The 17,494-nt window shown below is 42.1% G+C and overlaps 1 pseudogene; it reads right to left on the bottom strand.

Annotated features, from left to right (window-relative positions):
• On the bottom strand, window positions 1,124-2,091 carry YBX1P5 (Y-box binding protein 1 pseudogene 5; annotated as a pseudogene).

Raw genomic sequence — 17,494 nt, 5'->3', positions numbered from 1 at the left:
TTGGAAGTCTTGGACAAAAAGTGAATACACACCAAAGGATAAACTAATGCAATCACAGGCAGTATTAATAGAATATCAAATTCCGGAAGAAGGAAAATGATGAACCCAGTGAATTGTCAGATTCCATGTGGTGCACTATGTCCAGTTCTGAGCCTCCATGGCCTAGAGAAAGGTCAGAGGAGGGTCTTCTGGATAGTCACAGGTTTGAAGTCACTGTTCATTAAGACTTCTCTGGCCTAGGACAATTAACCTAGATCACAGGTTCTCAGAAGCCTTTTTAAAAAAAATTATTTAAGACTTTAATTAACAGGTCCTTACAGTTTGTTGACTTTTTTGAAAAAACCAAGTCGTAAACTTTTATTACAAATTAAAAATGAAGTTCTTAAAAATCTCAACTTGACCAGATATGAAACAATTTAAAAATCTTTAAAGGTATATTGAAAAAAAAGGGGGGGGGCTTAAAAAATGTTTGTTATTACCAAAAAGAGACGTCTTCAGGTAAAAACAATTTTTTAAAAACTGTCTGGAGGCGAGCGGATGGCTTGAACTCAGCAGTTCGAGACCAGCCTGGGCAACACTGCGAGACTCCCCCTCCCCGGTATAAAAATTAACCTGTATAACCAGTATATAAAAATTAACCAGTATAAAAATTAACCTGGCATGGGCCGGGCACGGTGGCTCATGGCTGTAATCCCAGCACTTTGGGAGGCCGAGGCGGGCAGATCACGATGTCAGGAGATCGAGACCATCTTGGCTAACACGGTGAAACCCCGTCTCTACTAAAAATACAAAAAATTAGCCAGGCGTGGTGGTGGGCGCCAGTAGTCCCAGCTACTGGGTAGGCTAAGGCAGGGGAATGGCATGAACCCGGGAGGACGAGCTTGCAGCGGGCCGAGATCGCGCCACTGCACTCCAGCCTGGGCGAAAGAGCGAGACTCCATCTCAACAAAACAAAACAAAACAAAACAAAAACAAAAAATTAACCTGGCATGATGTGCGCATCTATGGTCCCAGCTACTCGAGAGGCTGAGGCGGGAGGATCTCTTGAGCCCAGGAGGAGGTTGCAGTGAGCGAGACTGCACCACTGCACTCCAGCCTGGGTGACATCATGAGTCCCTATCTCAAAAGCAAAACAAAATACCATGCTGCGTAGACAATGCAGATAGTTCTAGTTGTCTGGTCAACGGACAAAAAACAAGCACTTAAGATCTTCAGCTCCAATCTTTTGTTCATTTCTTGTTGCTGGAATTTCGCATTCCTTTGTTCTTGTTGGATGATAACCAGGATGGTGGTAGAGATGGTAAGCCCGCATTTACTCAGCCTTGGGAGCCGGATTCTCAGCTGATGGATTGCTTTTGTCTCTTTGCCATCTTGTGGTTTAGAGTTTTCTGGGTGTCTGTGTCGGTAGTTGATGTTGAGGCGGCTGCTCACCTTGGGTCTTAGCCCCTTGATTTTCTTTATCGTCTTGGTCGGTGTCCACTGCTGGCTGTCTCTGGCGAGGAGAATTGGGGTGTGAGTCCCGGCTGCACATCCTGCCTCCCTGGTCTACCCTGTTCTCCTGCGCCTGACTGTGGGCACCCCCATCCCTGCTCCTGCAGGAGGGCTGGAGTGGTAGTCCGTGCCCGTGGGTCTCCGCAGGTGGTAGGTGGGGCCCTGCGCCTGCAGCCGGCGCGTGGTTGGGCCTGGCCCTTGGGCGCGCTCCCATCCCTTGTTTTTCACCCACGCCCACTATTCTGTTGATCCTACTGCTAAGTGCACGAGGCGCCTGCAGTGCGGATGGCGTCTCAAAGGGTTGCGGTCGCTGCATGTACTGCCTCGTACTGGACCGCCACCAGGGCCCGTGGCATTTGCCGCCTCCGCACCCTTTGCTCCTTCAACACCAAACTCCACAGCTCTCCACGACCACGCTGCGAAGGTGATTCCTGAGCTGCTGCTGCTTTATGGCAGTCTGCTGTACAAAATACATCTTCCTTGGTGTCATTCCCGCTGATGAAACCCCATCCTTCTTGTCCTCGCGGGCAGGCGCAGCCGATGTGAGGCACCCTGGCCACCGATCCCTGTGCGCTGCCCCTGGTGCTGGGTTTGGTGTCGCGGCGGCGGCTCGGCCTGGGCCTCTTTGCTCATGGGTGCGGGGATGGCGAGTGGCGCCCGCTGCGCACTTGCGGCTCCTCCCAGGGCTGGGCGTGAGGTTAACCGGGCCGGGACGGCGGTGGGGCTGCTCAGGGTCTCTGGAGTCTATTCCCTGCACCCATACCATCTAATTCAGAAGTTTTAAGGCACATGTGACATCTGTCATCGCTACAACTCAGTTTGTGGAGGGACAGGACACAGTATAATCCACAGGCCAGATTAACCCCCGACGAAGTGGCTATGATGGAGGAAGTTTCTAGCACCTGGAAGGCCAGGAAGGCAGTTGGAGAACAGACACATCTTGCAGATGACAATAGGTAAAGGCCCAGGAAAGCAGGTGGTATGGGGCGTCTTAGAGCAGAGAGTGGGGACCCAGCAATGTTCTGGTAGACTTAGAGGGAAAAGGGAGCCAGTCCCTGAGGAGTCAGGGTACCAGGCAGGCAACAAAGGAAGCCACTCAAAAATGGGAATCAAGAGCTGGATTCAGTGAGCACACAGTAGTGGTTCTCAAAATGTCCTTCTCAGACTGGCAGCAGCAGCACCTAGGAACTAGTCAGAAATGCAAATCCTCACTCCTCCTCCCACAAGACGTCTGAATCGCAAACACCTAGCAGTCTATGTTTGAGCAGGCCCTCTGGGATTCTAAGAAATGCTCACGTTTGAGAACCACTGGCTTAGAGATTAAGCCCATGGACTCTAAAGCCATCCCAGTTGTGCCAGTAACTAGCTATGTGATCTCAGTTTCCTCATCTGTAAAATGGGGATAAAAATGGTACCTACCTCAGGGTAGTTGCAAGGAGTAAGCGGTACACACACACACACACACACACACACACAAAGTACTTAGAACAGTGACTCCAGCACATGTAATTGTCAGCTAATGCTGCTCTTATCGTTAGTCATCAGAACTAGGGTATTCAGGTGAAGTAGAACCACCCATAACACTGCTTGATTTGGAAGCAAAGAGGTTTGCATTCAAGGTCCTTTCATCTTGGTCCCTCACTGGCCTGTACTGAGAGGTAAGGGGTTCCAGCTGTAGAAACTGGGGAACTCAGGGATCCAGGAAGTGGAATGTAACAACTGGCTTTAAATGTTTCAACACTGGGCTTCCCTTACTCCACATTACTCTTGAAAAGCAAAACTCATTCTAAAAGTGGCCATTAGGATGTTTTTAATTCAAGATCAGAAGAATATTAAAAACTGTTCTGTCCAGCAATGGAATGAGCTGTCTCCTGAAGAAGTCAGCTCTTTCTTACCATACACACATAGTGTGAGACAAAGTACTCATTGGCAAAGCATGTCAGACACAGATCTCTAAGTGGGGAGGGAAGTTCGAGTCTCAATGATTCCTTCCGCATTTTAGAATCTGGGAGTCTAGACCTTAGCATTTAGACAGGCAATAGGCTCCGGCCTTTCACCTTTATAAATGGCCTCTCCAATCTGCACAAATGCTTCCCTCCCCACTGCCACCCTGTGATTTTCTTTTGGTTCACATCTATGTCAGCTTTGGAATCCAGATGTGACCTGATTTTGAGTCTGGAATGAATTCATATTTAACAAGATGAGTTACTGTAATATTAATTGTTGCATTTTTTTTGTTCCTTCTTAGTCTAGACTTTTCTAAAGAAACAAAGATGATTATACTCCCTTCTCCCACAAATAAAAGCTAGGCAGTTAGGGTTTTACTCTTATCTTTGAGAGGGAATTAACAGTGGTTTCATATGCCTCAGTGACGACACACACACACACACACACACACACACACACACAGAAACACCAGGGAGACAACTCCAAAGAGGCCTTATTTTTAAAGACCTGGGGATTGCTTCTGCATGGAGAAACTCATTTTGAAGGTAAAAGAAGGGCGTGTTATGGGGTTGTTGGTTTCCAAGATACTAGGAAAGAGACAGGGTTTGTGAGTTCCTCGTGGGGCAAGATCCAACTTATACAACCTGTGTGCTGCCTACAGAGGCCAGATGTCAAACAACTCTGCTGCCCTTCAGAGCAGAGCTAGGTCCCTCCGTCCAGACTCTAGCAAAGGCGGAGCTCTGTGAAACCTGTCTAGAGTGGTCTTACCCATGAACAGGGGGCCAGCTCTCCACCCCAGCAGCATGCAGCAAAAGGAACCATGATGTTGAGGGTGACCAGTGTGATCTGATAGGCAGATTCCTTTCCTGTTCCCTCCAAATAGACACACACACACAGGGATGTGTGTATGCACACATAATTGGAGACACATTGATAAGGAGCCACTGTCCAAGTGCAATCCAAAAGAAAGGGTGAACATGAAAAATGACAAATATTAGACTGATACTGACTCCCCTACTTGGGGTCTTCGGGTCACAATTTGTTTTAGAAAAATAAAGACATCTGTCACTCCTTGAAGCTGACATGATCTGATGCAACTGATACACATTATAAATCGATAGCTCTTTATTGAGTGCCTGTGAAATGACCAGCAGCAGAAGCTCCCAGGCTTTTACATACTTTTTAAATGGAAATGAACACCTTCGAGACAGGTATTATCTCCATTTTGCAGATCTCACAGTCAAATTAGCAGAACCAGGACATGAAGGTTTTCTACTAAACTATGCTACTTTGCTCAGTGCCAGATCATTAAAAAAAAAAAAAAAAAGGTCTTTGTGATGTCAGACAAAAAGCCAAGAATCTACCATAACTGATACAGAGGGGGAAATCTTATTTCCAGGAGAATTAGAACAAGTTTTATACTTGTTCCTGTTTTTATTAAAACAAGATTAATTATGTGCAGGTATAGATAATGGGTTAAAATTACACGATTGGCAAATAAATTGAAATTCAGTTTCCTTTAACAAAAATGCAATGTCAATAAAATTTCCTACAAAAACAAACAAGCAAGCATCATCCTCTCAAGACAAGGTTATACAACAGTATGCAATGGCACCATCTCACTGGAAAGCTTCTGACAAACAAGCCCAGACTGAATTTCATGATGACAAGATACAGAATAAGCATATGTTTGACAATTTAAAACAAAACTTTCCTCAAATTAAGTTTTGTTTCCTTAGTCTTCAAAATATCCGATTTGAATATATTCTTTTACCTTCATTTGTATAAAATATTTATTTTTAAAGCCTTGTGCCAACAAATCAATGTTTCTCCCTTCCTGAATGATTCTGCTATTTAAAACCTAGGGACCTTTGGCTTCACTTTGATTTCTGAATTTGAAAGCTTGGAGATTTTAAATTTTCCATTCTACAGCAGCCATAGAAAACATATCACATTGCTGTTTATGCTATTGTAATATGTTAAACATCTTTTTAAAAAATATGCTAAATATCTCATCTCTTTTAAAAAAATGTTAAACATCTTTTTAAAATGTGCATAGATTCATAGTTCTACTTCTAAATTCATCCTAAGAAAATCACTGTACAGGTACACAAAAATATAGGTACAAAGGAATGTTTTTAATAGGTAAAAGAAGAAACAATTTAAATATGTAATAATTGACTAAGCAAATCCAGGTATATTCAAATAAATGAGATATTATGCAGCTATTTAATAAAGATGACATAAATGCATGTTGACATAAGAGATATTGAAATTATACTGTTCAGTTTAAAAAGGAGATGACTAAACAGCTTGCACAGCATGGAAAAAAGTCCGGAAGGTTGCCTACCAAGATGTTGACAGAGTTCATGTGTCTTCATGGTACGATTAAAGGTTTCTTCAATAAATTTCTTCTTCCTGTTTTCTTATCTGTATATTTTCTAATGTGGCTACAACAAACCTATCTCCCTTGTGTCATAAATAAAGAAATGAACACTACATAGGAGAAAAAATAACACTTACTTCCCATCATGAAGAAAACATTCCTTTGACCCCATGTCTTCCAGCTTCTGCCCATTTTCTGCTCCCATTTATAGCAAATCTTTTCCTGCTGTTTCTGCTTCCTTCCTCCCCTTTCTCTCAAGCCATCTCCCTACACTCCACCAAAGCTACTCTGTTAATGTCACCATTCACCTCCACGTTGCCCCATCTTCTGGCCTCAGCTTACTTGTTCCTCAGCATTGGACAGAGCTAATCACAATTTCCTTCTTGAAACATTTCCTCACCTGGATTTGGGACACTTCTCCCTTCTCTTTGCCCCTTCTTCCTTAACAACTCCTTCTCAGTCTCTTCTGCTGACCCTTTCTCATCTTCCTGACCTCTTGTTGTTGGAGTGCCTAGAGCTCAGTCCTTGGGCCTCCTCTCTCTGCACTCCCAATACCATCTGCATAGACTCCACCAATACCCACAGTATCTCCTCTGCATTCCAGACCTTGATAACCAACTCTCTTTCCTACATTTCCATTTGGATGTCTAAAACATGTCTTTCTCCAACCTATCGATCCTCTACTCTTTCATATCTATTAGCAAATCTTGAAATCTCTACCTTCAAAATCGATCATAAATACGACAATGTCTCAACTACCTTTACCACTGCTACCTGAGTCCAAGCTAGCGCCATCCTCCTCTGGGTAGAGCTCTGCAAAAGTCTCCCATGCTCCTCATTTCCCCGCTACCATATTCTTCTTGCTGCTCCTTGGACAGGACATCATGCATTCTGGACTCAGGCCTTTGTGCTTGCTATTTCCTCTCCCTAGAATTTCCTTTCCTCAGCTATCCCCTTGCTCATTCTCTTAACTGTCTTTGGCGTCTGGTCAAATGCATTTATCAGAGACATCTTTCCTGCCCAACCTATTTAAAATATTACAGTCCATCCCAGCTTCACCTCCATTGTCTTGCCTTAGTTTACCCACAGTACTTACTGCTTTCGAACATACCATACATTTATTTGCTATTGTCAGTCTCTCTCAACTAGATTATAAGTCTCATGTGTGCAGGGAATTTTTTTTGTTGTTCACTGCTGCACTGCCAGCTCCTAGAACAAAACCTGAGACAGGATAAGAACTCAACAAATATTTGTGGAATGAATGACTTGCCAGTCTAAGACTTTTCTTAGACTTAGAGGGAACTCTTTTCACATTCTCATAATTCTTAACATCTTGGGGTGGTGAGATGAGATTAGTAGTGATGCACCAGTGGGGCAGAGTGAGGAAGAGGAGCTGTAGCCCCTTCTTCTGGAAGTCTCAGTCAACTACAGGCTACTAATGTGACAAGAAGAGCAAGGAACAGCAGAAACTAGCTGGGAAAAAGCCCAGCACCTCCAGTCTATGTTTGGGGTTGGGGTCTCTTAGCATAGGTGTTGATCACTGAGGTTTCCCATTGAACAGTTTGGCCTTCAAATGGAAGAAAAGAAAAACCACTCTTGAACAGCAAGCTCCAGACCACGCCAGGAAGATCAGTTCAATTTCATGAAAACTCTAGACAAGAACAGCCCGAGGTGTCTGCGGTACAAATGACCCCTTCTCACTCCTGCTTAGGGGCAGCCACACTTCTGCAATCACAGTGTCTTGGCCCTAGTTCCCTTTACCCAGCCTTGTTTTCCTAGGTGCCCTCTGAAATACCTGGTTTAGATCTAATATCAGAAAAGATTCTTCTCTCACCTTCCTTCGTAACTTCTGTTATCTGACATCCTTCACAACTTGCATATCATCTGACATGACAGCAAGTATTAGGGTGGATTATGTCTGTCTCTTTTGGAAAACAAATGTCTGATAATCACTTTAAAAGGCTCAACAAATTTGCAAAATGCCTCCTACCCCTTATAGTGACCATGAGCCCTTTCTGTCATCACCTTCTTAATGTAGGAAAGTAAAATACAAATCAGGAGTCCCAATAAATTAAGTTCCCTGGATGGGAACTTAAAGGTAGTCTGTGCCTTTGATTTGCCTGAGCCTCTGATATCTCACCTAGAGTGGGCCTGAGGGTGGGCAGCCAGCAAGCTGCTGTCTCTGCCTGAACTGTCTGCAAATTGTTATAAGCAAACTTCTTCTACAGTTTGCCTTTCTGCAGGCTCCTGGAGGCTTTTATTTACTTAAGGAGACTTGTCTTCTGGTCCGAATACTGGATGTATTAATGGATTGCTTTATTTGAAATCTATTTAGACAGAGACCTAGGGGGGCTCCCTTGTCCTGGGAGAGTAAACTGCAGCACCTATGGAATATTTCAGATCTTAGGACAAGTCTCTGTTTCTGAGACTATTACCAAGGGGCAGTAATTTCATTATGCTATTCTGGGAGAAAATCATTCCTATCTTATTTTTGCATTTATATAACACTGGTTGTGTTGATGTGGTTAATTTCAAAGATACTGTTCATTCTCGTGTTATTCATTCTCTCATCATTAAATACTAACACACGCACACACACTGAACACCTACTATGAGTCTTGAACAGGGCTAAACCTTGAGGATACAAGCTAAGAAGAAAGGAACTTCCGAGGGCTTGTGCCCCAGCAGCTGAATCACTAAGTTAGGGACCTGAAGGCAGAGTCTGTTGGATTCCTTGCTGGATTTTTGAGTTGCATCATGATGTATATTTTAACAGTGATGTAAGTTCAAGAGTTCAGGAGAGCAAATATTAAGTACCAGTGAAATTTCAACATTCAGAAACAAAACGAGCCACTTGTAAATGGCAACTCTCACTTTGCATGTAACAGGGCAATTAATACATAATTCCATTCCAAGTCTGGAATATTTATTGAGCACCCATAGAGGTGCTCAATGTGTATGAGGCACATGGCAGGTCTGCAGCATTTCTCAGACTTTCCCAAGGAAGTGCTCTGAAGGGCACAAGGAAATGAACTGCAGACCTACAAATTTGGGAGTTAGGGGTCTCAGTGGCCAGTGTCTGCTGCAAGCTTGACATTTCTCTGAGTTTCTGTGTTTTGTTTTAAATATTCATATGAATTTTCTTCTTTCTGTTCAATAATACATCAGAATCTGTTTTAAAATATTGTTTTCTCCAAAACCTTCAATAAAATGGGTGTTCCAAATAGGTGCTTATACTGTAGCTTTGAATAGCCCTGACACAAAACAGTGAATACAAACACTCCAATTTGCCCAGCACAGCTCTAGGGGCTACCATGTGGAACTTGGTAAAGCACCCACCCTCGGGCGTGCTCCAGCTAGGCTCAAGCTTCAGATATCACCCTTCTTGACCTTCCCTGACTGCTAGGTCTACAGTAGTCTCCCTTTCCCCCAAATACCATGTTTTTGTTTTCATAGCATTTATCACCATCTGAAATTATCATCTTCTTTATCTTTAAGATTTTAAACAACCAGAAAGTTTAATAACAGGAGACAGGTTAAAACTATAATATACCTATATTATAGAATGCTATCAAATGATTTAATATTTGAAATGTTTTATTATTTTCTCAATGCATTGTTAAAATTAAAAGTGAAGCTATCAAATAGCATGTATAGAATACTATAACTTCATAAAAGAACTATATATATACATATATGTTAACAGTGGTTGCCTCTGAGTGGTAAGATCAGAGAGGACTTCAATATTTTTCTGGTTGCTTCTCTAATTTCCAGATTTCCCACAGTAGTATCTATTGCCTTTGAAATTAGAGGAAAATATTATACAGTGCCATGGGGACACTGGTATAGAGCTTGGAGATGGGAGGAAAGGAGAAGGTGGGTCCCCACGCTCTACCTCAGGTGGCACCTCTGAAAGTCACTGCTGAAGATCCAGCTCGTGACCACCAGGCTTGTCATGGTTCTAGATCCCATCTGATGCCCACAACTCCTGATGCTCACAGGAATGGCAGCGGCTTCACTCCTAAACTCTGGATTGCCTCGCCTTCCCCGTTGGCTCTGCAGTGAATTCTAGCACCTGTGTAATCTTTCTTTTTTTTTTTTTTTTTTGCATTAATTCCCACACTGTTACAAAAATGTAAAGGGAGTTTTCTGTTTTCCTGGTTGGACTTGAATTGATACTCTATCTGACTCATCATTCATTTCCAGTGATCTATCATAGAGAAATAGAGAGGGTAACATCAAAGAGTTATGTAAAATATTGCAGCATTGTCATTTGGAAAAAATAGAAATAAGCATAAATGTTCAACAGGAAGTGTTGTGGGTTAAATTGTGTCCCACCAAAAAGATATGTTCAGGTCCCAACTCCCATACTTGTGAATGCAACCTTATTTGGAAATAGTGTCTTTGCAGATATAATCAACCTTAGACGAGGTCATACTGGATTAGAGTGGCCCTTAATCCAATGACTGGTCCTTATAAGAAGAGAGAAATAGGGACACAGACACACAAGGAGAACAACACATGACAATGGAGGCAGAGATTGAAGTGATGTAGCTGCAAGACAAAGAATGTTTGGGCTGCTGGCAAACACCAGAAACTAGAAGGGTCAAGAAAGGATTCTCCTTAGAGCCCTCAGAGGGAGCATGTGCCTACTAACACCTGGATTTCAGACTTCTAGCCTCTGAAACTGTGAGAGAATACATTTCTGTCCTTTCAAGCCACCTAGTTTATGTTAACTTGTTTAGGCAACACTGGGAAACTAATATAGTAAACTAATAATAAATGTTTTAGAAGAACTGGAATTTACCCTAACATTGCTGTTAAATATATATGCACATATACACCCACATATATAAATAAAATCTAAATAATAACACAAAACTTAATGAGAGAGCTTGTTTACGATGTTGCAATGCAGTTTTCTGGGCCTCACTGTAGGTATTCTGATGCAATAAGCTTGATTTAGCAGCCAGTAATGTGTTCTGGAAATATTAGCCATTATCACGTGATAGGCTTCTCAGCCACCCCGGCTGGAGTCAGTCACAGACCTTAATCTTGTTTCCTGAGATATAATTTAAATGATTTAAGAAGGAGAGAGAGAGAGAGAAACCACTTTTCTTGGTTTCTACTCTCAAGTAGTCTCAGACTTCAATGGAGCCTTAATTTCCAGTGAAATGACCTGTCAATCTTACTTAGAAGAAATTTGTTTACTTCAATCAGCGTTGGGAAGATGTCATTGAAGCCTGAAGAGACATTTTCCAGCTTTCTCACTGTCTTAGATAAGATTCTTCTAGTCCCAAATTACAAAAACCAATCCTAGCTACCTTAAACATAAGTAAACAAGTAGCTAAGTAAGCAAATAAATAAGAAAATCAAAGGAGAATCCGAACAGTCAGCCTGGGAGAGGACTGGGCCCAGGACAGATCCAATCGTCAGCATCAGCATCAATTGCAGGCCTTTGACCTCCCTCGACCACATGGACTCCTGAAACCACTCAGTGCAAATCTCCAAATTCCTCAGAGACAATCTAATTGGTTCCACTTAGGTCAGGGGTCCCCTGAACCAATCAGTTATGGTTAAGAAAGAATAGGTTCAAGTGATTCAGATGCAGCAGTTTGGGGTCCATTTATGTGAGTGAGGGCCAGTTCTCAGAAAACGGGAAATGAGAGAGCGGCAACCTCTCCAAGAGGCCTCTACTCTCCCAACTCCCTTCCCTAACTCCTAACTCTTAGTCCATGCTCTGAGAACAGATCTTAAACTTTCTCCTAGAATAAGCCATTCCTGTCTTCTCTTCCCAGTTCTCCACATTCCATTCCAACTCAAGGCATTTCGGAAATGCCTCCCAGGTCCCCTTTCCCTACAGGTCCCATCCATGTGGAATTTAAACATTTGTTCATCTTGCTTATTTATGCACTTTGGTGAAATCCCCTCTCTAGAGGGAACTCCTTTAAGATCAATTTAGATGATATTGGTCTTTGGATAAATGACACAAGAAAAAGCCAGTAAGTTCTGGTTTGGGTTATTTATTCTAGTGGCAGTGATGGGTCGTGTTGAGTCACCCATATTAGTTTCCCTTTTGACTGCTATTGCAAAAGGAAGATCAACCTGGGTGACTGGGGCATATAGTCTATGGCTAACCACAAAACATGGCTTTTCCCAGCGGAAAGGATGGCTGGCCACTGTAGGAGAAGGGAAGTTAATTCAGGCACAACAGCATGACACCTTAAATTGAATGAGTTATCAATTTTGAAAACAACTTATGTCTCTATCAACATCAAGTCAACTCTCCTGTCCCCATTCTCTCCTTCAAGGATGAGCTGACTACATTGTTAAAAAAAAAAATCAAAGTTTCCTTTGGTACCTTCCTACTTTATTCTGTCTCCACAGAAACTATCTTAGCTATCATATCATCGAACATCATTAATTATAATGACACAGTTATCTCTTAAGAGTCATGAAAAGGTGCCATGAAACTCAGACATGTCCTCTGAGCTGAACTAAGAAAAATACATATTGGAAGTGCTTAGGTCACACTATCTGTGTGTCATTGGGGCCAGTTACATAACCTCTCCACAACTCTTTTCTCACCAGTGAGATATCATAATAATAATCCCTCCCTCAGGGGATTGTTGGAAAAATTAAATAAGTGTCAAAAAATTAGAGCAGCTCGTGTTTTGAGTCAAGTGCCTAATAAATGTTAACTATTATAACCATTTCCTATCCCTCGGGTAATGTCTGATACACCTTCTCTCTATGAAACATCCTGCATTGTAAATATCAACCTACTTATCTTTCTTCACTGCTAGACCAGGGCACTAGGTGGGAGCTTCTTCATCTTGTATCTCTAGCACCCAGGTAGCCACAGTGATGCTGGCTGCATGTATGGACAGTGTCACAAGAGCTGAGTGTGTGTCATCAGGACTGGGATGTAATCAAGAGAACTGTGATCGCCCCCGACAAGGCTTTTTAGCCTATGTGAAGGCATTCATTGAAGGATTTTCCTGAAAATCATAAAGAGGGAGTGGAGAGGATAGTTAGGAGTTTTGTGTGATCTTGGGAAAGCTGTTTCACCATTCTTAGCCTCAGTTTCTTCATCTGTAACATGTAGATAAGAAGACTTGCCTTACATCATTGCGTGAGAATTGAATGCAATAACAGGAGGACCGTGCTTGGCCCATAATCAGCATAAATAACTATACAAGTAAGAGTCTTCTTACCAAAAGATATAATGATAAACGCTGTTAACACCACCAACTATGCCTCTGGCTTTGACTCTACTTTTACCAATCACCTTCTGGATAGTAATTTTGTTTCTTCTACAGACTTATCTAGAGGAGAGAGGGGACTTATCAGCCAAGGGGAGTCCACTTGACTCTTGTGTCTTGTTTAAACTCGGCAGGCATTTATAAATTTTCTTTGAGAACCTCACTGAGCTGGAACAGCTCTCGGTGACAAAAAGGGGTGTTTCTGGACCTACAAAGGTCAAGACCTGATACTGGTGCAGAGCACCCCATCTTATCGGCCACTCAGTCAAAGTGTATTTACCAGAGGTACCAGCTCATCTCCTCCTTCTCTTTAACAGCGAAAACCACTATTAGATGACGGAATCAGATAGAAAGAAGGTTAGAAAGTCAGCATTACTTCACAGAGGAGCAATTCGTATGGGAATACTCTTTCATTCTGGGAATACAGTTTTGGAAGGCACACTGATAATTCTGGCCCGTATTTTTGTGTGAAATATCCTACTTTTAATAGTTTGAAAGATACATTATTAGCTTTTTTAAAGTGAGGTGCAGAAGACTGTGTAGTTGCTGAAACTCATCTAGAAGCGTTTAAATGTGTAGACCATGTCCAGAAAGATTTATGATAAACCGATGTTCTTGGTAGCCTTTCGGGAGGGAGCTGGGTGATTAAGGGTTAGGGATAAGAAGAAGACTTCCTATGTGTGCCTTTTTGAACCTTTGAAAATTTTGAACAATGTGAACATAATTGCTTGTCAAAAACTACAGTTTTTAAATGTTAAAAAATTAAATGAAAGAATCCATTTCCGACACATTTAGTAATTTCCTAGTCTCTTGCCTATGCCTATATGCTTGTGGTTAATTACATTTACATTCATGACTTAATTAGTTCAAAAATTGCAGTTCCGTCATTTCATTCTGAAGGATATTTATTTATTTATTTTAGGGATGGGGTCTCCCTGTGCTGCCCACGCTGGTCTCAACCTCCCGGGCTCAAACAATGGATATTTATTTTTAAATACTCTTTCAAGCTTTTTGTCTTTGGTTATTGAAGCCCACATTCATTCACATTTTTTTAAATCTCAATAAACTTTTGAGGGGAGAATTCTTGAATTTGAAAGACTGCAAGATAGTTCCCATAATGGCTAGATAGTATTTTCTGGATAGGTGGCAGGGGAGGAGAGGTAATGTGTCCAGAGTCAGTTCCTTCTGGTGGGTTAGTGGTCTCGCTGACTTCAAGAATGGAGCTGCAGACCTGCCGGTGAGTGTTACAGCTCTTAAAGATGGCACGGACCTGAAGAGTGGGGAGCAGGAAGATTTATTGTGAGGAGTGAAAGAACAAAGCATCCACACCATCGGAGAGGACCCTAGTGGGTAGCTGCTGCTGGCTGGCTTGGCCAGCTTTTATTCCCTTATTTGTCCCTTCCCATGTCCTGTTTCTGTCCTATCAGAATGTCCTTTTCTCAATCCTCCCTGCAATTGGTTACTTTTAGAATCCTGCTGATTGGTCCATTTTACAGAGTGCTGATTGGTCCACTTTACAGAGCGCTGATTGGTCCATTTTACAGAGCACTGATTGGTCCATTTTACAAACCTTTTGCTAGCTACAGAGCACTGATTGGTGTGTTTTTACAAAGTGCTGATTGGTGCATTTTACAAACCTCTTGTTAGCTACAGAGCGCTGATTGGTGCATTTTACAATCCCCTTGTAAGACGGAAAAGTTCTCCAAGTCCCCACTTAACCCAGGAAGTCCAGCTGGCTTCACCTCTCAGTAAGGCAAAAATATAAAGAAAAGGGGAACTTTTTTAGTGAATATTTTTCTGTCTCCCTTCAATATGAGATCATTCTGATATTTGATTAAACTTTTCTTGTTGAGCTTGCCGTAAATCTTCAGTCACTGAAATTAATGAATGAGTAGTTCCAATGTTTAGCAGATTCTTCATGGTATAGAGGACTCTTTACTGGGACCATGCCATTCCTTGGCATGGAGCTTGTGGGCCCCATCCTGTCTGGGGCCTCACAGTAAGATTGGACTGAGAACAACAGAGCAAGAGTGGGAGCGAAGGTGGATGCTGTGAGGTTGCCATCCTCTGCCTTCAGTCACCTTCCTCCTTCTCATGGTGCCTCCTGCCTCATGCTGCCCTGAGCCTCCACCCTTTCCAGACCCCTCCACAACACACTCACACTCACACTCTTCCTCACGTCTATAGCAACAGATGTCAGATGGGAGTGTGCATTGAGTCACCTGGAGGGCTTGTTAAAACCCAGATTTATGGGCCCCACTTCCAGATTTTCTGATCTAGAAGGTCTGGAGTGGGGCCCAAGAATTTGCATTTCTAACAAGTTCCCAGGGAATGCTAAAGCTTCTGACCTGGGAATCGCACTTTGAGAACTTTTTACTCATCTTTCTCTTTCCTCTTCTAAAAGTGTGGGTTTTACTTTTGGTTACTTAGAAAGGATCTAATCAATGAATTAATTCTAGTATAATGGAAAGAGCTTGAAGTTGGAGGCAAGTAAAGCCAGATTCACAGATAGACCCCATCATTTGTTAGCCATGCGATGCTGAGCAAGAATCTTAACTTGTCGCAGCCTCAATTTCCTCATCTGTAAAATGGGAATACTAACACCTACCTCATATAATTAAATAATGTGTGTAATGGGTCTAGACCACATTAGATATTCAATGAACATCAGCTTCTTTAACCCCAATCCCTTTCTTGATATACAATGGGCTGGTTACCACTCAAGGTATTAACCCATGCAGGAATTCCCAGGATGATATGAGCAATTACTTATATACATGCAACTCTTTACATTTACAAAATAAATTAATATACTTTATCTTCTGAAGGAAATTTGAGAATATACATTTTTAACAAACATCCAAGATAATTTTCATATGCGCCAAAGTTTGAAACCAACAAATATCTCACTTAATCCTCACAGCAACCTAAAGGATGGCATTATTAATCAGATTTTACAGATGAGAAACTAAGACTCAAAGAAGTTAAGTGACTCTCCACAACAGCAGAGCTAGATCCCAGACCTCTGGCTTGTGAATTCAACTCTTCAATATGAAGATAAAAATCTTTAATGGTGGTATTTTAGGCATCAGAGACAGGAAAATGGGAGATATTTTTGCCTAGATGACCACAGTTGGCGCCACCTGATGTCCAACGGGTGAGTTGCATGGGAATCTGGGAGGCTGATTGGTTAGTTCTAATATGATAGGGTCTGATTCTGTGGCTCCTGTACAGTTAACTTACAAAAGGATGCACCTGATCCAGGTGTCTTGCGGCCTTTCAACTCTGAATGGCTGACCAAGTGCCAGTTGGCTTTCTGGAATGGAATATTTAGTGACCCTGCTGACAGACAAGCTTCCACCTTTTCCATTCCTTCTTTTATAGCTTGAGCCTTAATAAGGGAAGGATGCAGTTGTTCCTAAATGTGGCTCTGGAAAAATCTTAACCCAGGAAAGAACAAATATTAGTTTGGAGCTTTACAAGTGGGGATGGCCACCAGCCAACAAACTACCCGTTAGGTTATTTATACTGCAAAAGGAAATGATGTACTTGCAAGCTACTTCTTTTCAGCTCATGCCTAATCCAAAATATTGTTCCAGAAATCAAAACCTGGTGTTGAAATTAACAAAAAATATTTAGTGGACATCACATGGCTTCCTCTTATAAATTCACAATTCCATGTAGTTACCTATGACACATGCTCACGGTTTAAGTGGCCATTTTTAATCAAGACTGACTTGATTCTCTATCTGACCTTCCCATCCTAAAACCTTATTTGCTTCTTGGAAACTCCCTGTGAGCACATGTGTAAGGAATGCCCCTCAGGCTTCCATGGAGAATTTTTTTTTGTACTTATTTATTTTAAGTAAAAGATATTTGAGAGGAACATAACTTTGGACAAGGGCACTGAAACTAGCCAAGGGAGAAATTAATCCATAACTTGGTACAAACAGTTCAACAACTGGAAATAGGATTCTTATACTTAAGGACACTCAGGCCAACGGGTGTGGTAGCAAAATCATGTAAGCCAAAAATTTCCCCATGAGCTCTGGGAGGGAAATTCCACTTTCTCATCAAAGAAATGAAGCTTACCCCCTCTACTTCCAGCTGGAGACAAAGCATGATTTTTCTTGATGTTGGCATCCCAAGAATTCATCATAAGCCCCACTGGGAAAATGACACCTGAACTCAGAGTCAGATCTGGTGCTGTCGGCAAAGAGCTTGAATAGGTTTGCCTATACTAGACTGCAAAATACTTCAGGGCTCAAAACCACCTCTTCACCCTCCTTTTGCAGGTGAGCATGAGCCTGGATTGAAGTGGGTGGTAATGAACTCTTGAAGGAAGCAGTAACTGTGAAATAGATCATTTTCGCATTGTGGACATGCTGAATTTGTGGTGTTCACA

The sequence above is a fragment of the Homo sapiens genome, chromosome 5 (genome assembly GCF_000001405.40).
Source record: "Homo sapiens chromosome 5, GRCh38.p14 Primary Assembly".
Taxonomy (NCBI): Eukaryota; Metazoa; Chordata; class Mammalia; order Primates; family Hominidae; genus Homo; species Homo sapiens.
Note: the sequence above shows the minus strand (reverse complement) of the source record. Positions and strands in the feature narration are given on the sequence as shown.